Consider the following 7,266-nt stretch of genomic DNA (forward strand, 5'->3'; position numbering starts at 1 on the left):
ATTACCTGGGCATGGTGGTGGGCGCCTGTAATCCCAGCTACTTGGGAGCTGAGGCAGGAGAATTCCTTGAACCTGGGAGGCAGAGGTTGCAGTGAGCTGAGATCGTGCCACTGCACTCCAGCTTGGGTGACAGAGGAAGACTCCATCTCAAATAAATAAATAAATAATTTGCAGGCTGTTTTCCCTCAAACGAATTCCCTCTAATGGTGTCCTCTACTAGGAAAGGTGTCCTGTACTCACTAATCCATCAAAGGTCTATTGACTTTACAACATATTAAGGTTTAGCTCAACTCCACCTCCCTCCCCTCTTCCTAATATAGCTATATTTCAGTTCTCTTGTTTACCTTTCTAACTTAATACTATGCTAATCATTTTAGTATCTTTTTCAGATAGGCACTGGGTATTCTGAGTTCCTATTTTGTAAAATAAGAATATTAGTATCCTTCTTTTCATTCACTCTCTTTTCGTCTGTGTCCCAGCTTCAGTCAACTGTACTTTACTTTTACATTGCCTTGATTGTTAATATTAATATTTAATTCTGTAACCAAAATTAAGACTTAAGTTCATTGACTGTAAAAGCTGAAAATTGATACAAAATATTTATATTCTTTCTTTCTTTATTTATTTTTGAGACAGGGTTTCACTCTGTCATCCAGGCTGGAGTACAGTAGTGAGATCTCAGCTCACTGCAACCTCTACTTCCCCAGCTCAAGTGATCCTCTCACCTCATCCTCCCAAGTAGCTGGGACTATAGTCATGTGCCACCACTCCAGGCTATTTTTTGTATTTTTCTGTGGAGACATGGTTTCGCCATGTTGCCCACACTGGTCAAACTCCTGCGCTCAAGCGATCCTCCCCGCTCAGCCTCTCAAAGTGCTGGGATTACAGATGTGAGCCACTGTGCCCAACCTATATTATTTTATTTTTAGTTTTTAATTTTTTTGTGTACATATTTAGTCTTATTGTAACAAAGCAACTTGTGCACTTTTAACGTTTAAAACTGAGCATCATCTTTTCTTTCCAGTGAAACGAAAACAAAATTTAAAAATAAACAGGAACAAAATTACAATCGAGAATGTCAATTCCAAATAAGATCCTACAGGTTCTGCTGATTCTCCCATTGAGTGGCAGGGCTCAGGTCATCATTAGGAGAGAATTTATTTTTAAAGTGTCATCTTAAACTGCAAGGATATCTGTCAAACATCACAAACATCCCAAGGAGAAGCCATGTTGTCAAAATGCCCACTTAACCCGGCCAAACATGTCAAAGCCACCCTTTGCTGACCTTCTAAAACCCCATTTTTTAGAACTGTTTTTTTCCTTTTTTTAAACAAAAGACAGTAGACAGATACATGTTGGTAAATGCTAACTGTCTTTATTCACATACAGGCACAGTGTACTCTCTGAGCTCAATATATAGAGAAAGTAGGAAAGAAGCTAGAATTCTCCGCACTGCCACACAGGGCCCTCACACCCTCCAGCTTCCAGCAGAGCAAAGGGAGCAGGTTTTTTTTTTTCCCCACAGAGCTCAGTGGTGTTGATTCCATACAGTTTTTGCTCAGACAGGAAGGGATAAAAATGAATTAAGAATAGAAAGAGGATAGAGGCTCTTTTCCCATTGTATTCTGCTCAAGGTATTTCCCTCCCAAATAAGTTGAAAACCATGGTGTAGAGAAAAGGGACCACGAGAACAGGGTTACTGAGCACAAGAAGCGGGGTGGGGCGGGGGAAAGACTGCAACTTGCTCCCAGGAACTGGAGAAAATTTCTTTAAAAGGAAGGTTGGAATCCATCAGTGTTCTATTAGTCATCTTCTCCTTCATCCTCCTCTCCTTCCTGCCCTTCATCACCATTGTCATCTTCTTCACCTTCACCCTCATCTTCTTCATCAATATTTTCTAATTCTTCCTCCTACTAATCTTCTTCTCCTTCTTCTTCTCCATCATCCATATTGGGAACCAAGTAGTACTATAATGGGTTTGGCCAAATATCACCTTTGATGACCTCTCCTAACTCATCAGCACCTTCATCAGAATGGTGGGTAAATCAGGTAGAGAAGCTCTCTGGTGCCTCATGCTGCCTCTTCCTGCTGGCTTTACTCTGCATCTGACTTTAATGTTTTGTCAAATTTTTTCTAAATTTCCATTTGATTTCAGTGGAATTTGCAGATGGATCACCACTCTCATTCAGATGAAATTCTTTGGAGACAACTTTGTTTTCAAAGTAAGGATTTTCATCAGAATAAAAACCTATTCTATAACCTGATTTAATATTTTCAAATTCTGTCATTTCAACTCTGATCAAATAATGCAGTGCCTCTTCCTCCTCCTCCCCAAGCAGTGCAGACACGTGGAGATGGTTGACAAATGTTGCCCGAAAATTTGGGATCTTGGCAATCAATTCTGACGTCTTCTGAAAAAATGGTTGCAGGAGTTTGTATTATTTCTGTTCTGCTTTCAAAATCTCCTCACTAGCTTGTTCATTAAGTCTATTTCTTTTTGTACTTCATCAATATGTTCAATTGCTTCTTGCTGTTCTTTTTCTCCCTTCTTCGGCAAGCCTACAGAGACTGATGTCTCCTCCAGTCTCAGAGCAGGAGGTAGTCTTGATTTCTTCTTTTGAGGTGGGAGTGGAGACGGGCATTTGGGGGCCATGCTGCTAGGGAAGTCCAAGAACCAGACCACAAGTCTCCTCACTTGTGAGGAAGCAGGCAGAAAACGGCCTATATTATTCGAAATATCCAAACAATGTCTTCCGGAAGTCCAATAACACCATACAGCCTAAAATAGCATTATGTGTTTCCTGGAGTTTATTGCTAACTTTTTTTTTTTTTTTTTTTGAGAAGGAGTCTTGCTCTGCTGCCAGGCTGGAGGGCAGTGGCGCGATCTTGGCTCACTGCAATCTCTGCTTCCCAGGTTCAAGCAATTCTCCTGCTCGGCCCCACAAGTAGCTGGGACTACAGGCGCACGCCACCATGTCCGGCTAATTTTTGTGTTTTTAGTAGAGACGGGGTGTCACCATGTTGGCCAGTTTGGGCTCAATCTCTTGACCTCGTGATTTGCCCACCTCAGCATCCCAAAGTGCTGGGATTACAGGCATGAGCCACCGTGCCTGGCCTATTGTTACCTTTTAATTTTCTTACACTTTGTGCAGGCCTTATATCCTCAAACTCATCCATCTTCTCAGTCAAGTTGTGTTTCCTATTAGCTACTTGCCTTTTTCCTAGAGATTTTTGTCCTTGAGCCTCTGCCTCAATAAATCTGCTCTGCAGCTATAATCCTGTAATCAGTGTTACCCAGATCTCATGTTTCCTTTTCCTTGGTCTACTCTTCTCTGTTTATTCCTGATTTTTTTTGGAGCATATCCCGAAGTACATTCATAAGAAAGTGTGCTTGGGAGGTACATTTTGTGTGTTCTTCCATATCTGAAAATGTATTTATTCTATTCTCTGATTTGATTAATAATTTGCCAGAGTATGGAATTATAGAGTTACAATTCCTCCACAGAATTGTGAAAATGCATTGCTTCAGAGTCATCTATCATCCAGTTCTATTGTTGAGAAGCCTGACGCCATTTTGAATCTTTGAAATTGATGCTTCCCTTTTCCTAGAAAGCTTACAGGATCTTTTTATGCCTCTGTTCTCAATCTTCACAGTGACATGCTTAGGTACGAGTCATTGTATCCTGCACTGGGGATGGGGGTGGGGTTAATTTGGAAACTCAACTTTTCGGGTATGGGAAATTTACTTCAGTAAATTTCCAATTTCTGTTTCCCTCTCTCCTCTCTTCCTGGAACTCTATTAGTCAAATATTGAATCTCTTGGATTGCTCTACTGTATTATCTTTTCTTCTGTTTTTCCTCTTTTGGAAGTCATTTCTTTGACTTTATCTTTTGAACCTAATACTAATTCTTCCACTCCTGCTATTTTATATATTTATTTTCCAAGTGCTTGTTCTTTTTTGCTTTCCTTTTACAAGTTTTTGTTTGTTTGTTTTGAAAACAATAGTTCCCCAAATAACTCGGAATATACTAACTAGAGGTTATTAAGGCTTTATCCTCTGTTCTCTGCTTTGTGATGTTTCTTTCACTTTATGTTTTTAAATTACAGTCTTCACAGAATTATGGAGACTGTCGAGTATGTGTGGAGAATGGACCTTGCAAACAAATAAAACCAATTTTGTAGACTTTGACGAATAAATTTCTCTTTAAAATAAAGATAGCTCAATGTTGTTAAAATTATATACACACATACAATTCTAAGCACATGGTAGGCGCTGAATTTATGGTAGCTCCAGTCTTTTCTCTTTTATGAATCAATTTCTCAAAAATATTTAAAGTGGCCAGTGCAGTGACTCACACCTGTAATCCCAGCACTTTGGGAGGTGAAAACGAGCGGATCACTTGAGCCCAGGAGTTTGAGACCAACCTGGACAACATAGGGAGATTCTGTCTCTACGAGAAAAAAAAAAGAGGAAAGAAAGAAAGAGAAAGAGAGGGAAAGAGAGAGAGAAAGGAAGAAAGGAAGAAGAAAGAAAAGAAAGAAAAGGAGGGAGGGAAAGAGAGAAAGAGAAAGAAAGAAAGGAAGAAAGAAAAAGAAAGAAAGAGAGAGAAAGAAAGAAAAGGAAGGAAGGAAGGAAGGGGGAAGAAAGAAATGAGTCGGTGTGGTAGTTCATGCCTGTGGTACCAGCTACTTGGGAGGCTGACGCGGGAGGATCACTTGAGCTCAGGAAGTTGAGGCTGCAGTGAACTATGATTGTGCCACTGCACTCCAGCCTGGATGGCAGAGCGAGACCTTGTCTTAAATGATGATCATGATAAAACCCCCAGTATCTACAACGTGCGTGAGATGTGCCACCAGATGGCGCCATGATTGGAACTGTAACATGGAAGAACTCCAACTCCCTTCTTTAATATTTCTGCAGATTTCTGGTGAGGCTTTTATCCTTATGATCCGCTCTGCTTTTTGGATACTTTTTTTGCATGTGAGGTCCCATGTTGACCCCATTCCTGAAACCCAGCTCCTTTCTTAACTCTTATTTATACCTGTCCCCTTCTGCTACACACACCCCAACTCAGGTAAAGTCTTCAGGAGTAGATTTGGAAGTTAAAGAGTAAATGAGGGTTTATGTTTTTGTGTTGAGAAAACTTTTTATTTTACCCAGATTACATCTCTTTTCTTAAAATGTAATTGGCCACACCATCTTCAGTTCACTGGCCCTTCATCTTGTACAGTTCTCAACCTTACACTTTCTTGCTGGCTTGTGATTTTTTTATATCCACACACACAGTCCCTCTGTTTCGTCCCCTCTTCCTTAGAACAAAACAAATTATTTTCCTTGATTTCTGCTATATTTAAGGCACATATTTATTATGTAACTTCCTGTGACATGTATGGCCTTAACATCTTACCTGCTAGGTGAGCAGCATATGATGTTATTTTCCCAAAAAGAGTTACTTTACTTCCTAAGAAAAGCTGTTGTCAGTTATTTAGGATAGTAATATTTTTACCTCATCATTCAGGTTTCTACAAATCTGAGGGAAAAAAGGAAAATATCTGAAATCAAGAAAAGAGAACTAACTTAAGTGTGTGGGGATATAGGGAGGGCAAGAGAGGTGATGACTGAGCTTGGACTAAGAAGAAGAAGCTATAATGTGTGAAAAAGAAAAAATAAGTAAGAGAAATATGTAAGTATGGTCAATTTCTGGATTACTTTTATTTTATTATTTCTCAAAATGCCTCTAAAATTTGTTAGTGAGAATTCTGAAGTGATTAAGTGGTACCAATTTCTATGGTTTGGATTTTGGATCATGGACTGAAAAGAGTGTGCTGTGGAATTAGACATATATATTTCGTTCCAACTCTGCCATTATTATGGTGTAACCTTTAGTAAGTTACTTCACTCCTCTGACAGTAGTTTATTATAAAATGGGAGTAATAATGTCTTTAAAAATTAGATGATATAGTGAAAGAAAACTATCTGTCTTAGTCTATTCTGGCTGCTATAACAAAATAGACTGTGTAATTTATAAACAACAGAAATTCATTGTTCACATTTCTGGAGGCTGGGAAGTTCAATATCAAGGTGCCGGCAGATTTGGTGTCTGTTGAACGCTCACTCTCTGCTTCAAAGATGGTGCCATCTATCTGTATCCTCACATGGGGAAGGGGCAAACAGTTTCCTTCAAGATTCTTTTATAAGGGCACTGATGCATTCATGAGGGAAAGCCCTCATGAACTACTTATCTCCTAAAGGCCCCACCTCTTAATACTATTACATTGGGTATTAGGTTCCGACATATAAATTTTGGGGCAACACCAACATTCAGACCTCAGCACTACTAAACAATGGCTATAAAGTATTCAATAGATGATAATTATTCCTAGAATGAGATTCTTTGACTCCTTTTTAGCCCTAAGATCTTTGAATTCTTGATGAGGAAGAGATATAAAATAAAAAGAAGTAGAAAGCCTGCTGACTGACTTCTCAGTTTTCATTCTCTGCTTATTGATCTAAACCAATCATGACAATCCCTCACAATAGTCAGTAATTGGTTTAGGGATAAGAATTCATGAGCCAATTTGGGGCAATGAAATGTAGAAAACACTTAAAAAGAACTTTTGCACAAAAAGTTCCCTTCTAACTAAGGGATAGGGTGATCAAAAGATTATTTTTATATAGCTAGACGCAAAGACTCATGCTGTCTTGGTTACAGCTAACAGCCATTTCATGACTATTAAGGTAATTCACTTATTACTTATATTAATCTTCCACTTTGGATGGATTTCTGAGGATTTTCTACATAAATAATTATGTCATCTGTAAAATAATTATTTTCTAAATTATATGTTTTTTTAATGCTATAATGTACTGGCTAGATCTATAATACAATGTTGAATAGAGGTGATGAAAGTGAATGTCTTTACCTTGATTTCAATCTTAAAAGAGCATTAGTTGTAGGTTTTTTGTAGATGTCCTTTATCAGATTGAGATGTCCTTTATCAGATGTCATTCCCAGCTTGATAATCGTTTGTAGAATAAACGGGTGTTCATTTTGACAAATGGGTTCTTTTTTCAATTTTCAAAAATTGTGGTCATATACACATAACATTTACCATCTTAACAATTTTTTTTTTTGAGATTGTATTTCGCTCTTGTTGCCCAGGCTGGAGTGCAACAGCACGATCTCGGCTCACTGCAATCTCCACCTCCCTGGTTCAAGCAATTTTCCTGCCTCAGCCTCCCACGTAGCTGGGATTACAGGAGC

At 38.8% G+C, this 7,266-nt stretch overlaps 1 pseudogene, besides 2 other annotated features; it reads right to left on the reverse strand.

The window, feature by feature from the left end:
- Positions 827 to 1,037: a silencer, noted in NCBI's record as "fragment chr14:20995293-20995503 (GRCh37/hg19 assembly coordinates)". NCBI's record gives its function as "represses an EF-1alpha promoter that drives an FKBP-Casp9 reporter gene in an ReSE screen in K562 erythroleukemia cells {active_cell/tissue: K562}" and the evidence as "EXISTENCE:reporter gene assay evidence [ECO:0000049][PMID:32094911]".
- Positions 1,630 to 2,718, reverse strand: SETP1 (SET pseudogene 1; annotated as a pseudogene).
- Positions 4,529 to 5,028: an enhancer, noted in NCBI's record as "H3K27ac hESC enhancer chr14:20998995-20999494 (GRCh37/hg19 assembly coordinates)". NCBI's record gives its function as "activates a minimal SCP1, AML or CMV promoter by ChIP-STARR-seq in primed H9 embryonic stem cells {active_cell/tissue: H9 hESC(primed)}" and the evidence as "EXISTENCE:reporter gene assay evidence [ECO:0000049][PMID:30033119]".

This window comes from Homo sapiens, chromosome 14, assembly GCF_000001405.40.
Source record: "Homo sapiens chromosome 14, GRCh38.p14 Primary Assembly".
NCBI lineage: Eukaryota > Metazoa > Chordata > Mammalia > Primates > Hominidae > Homo > Homo sapiens.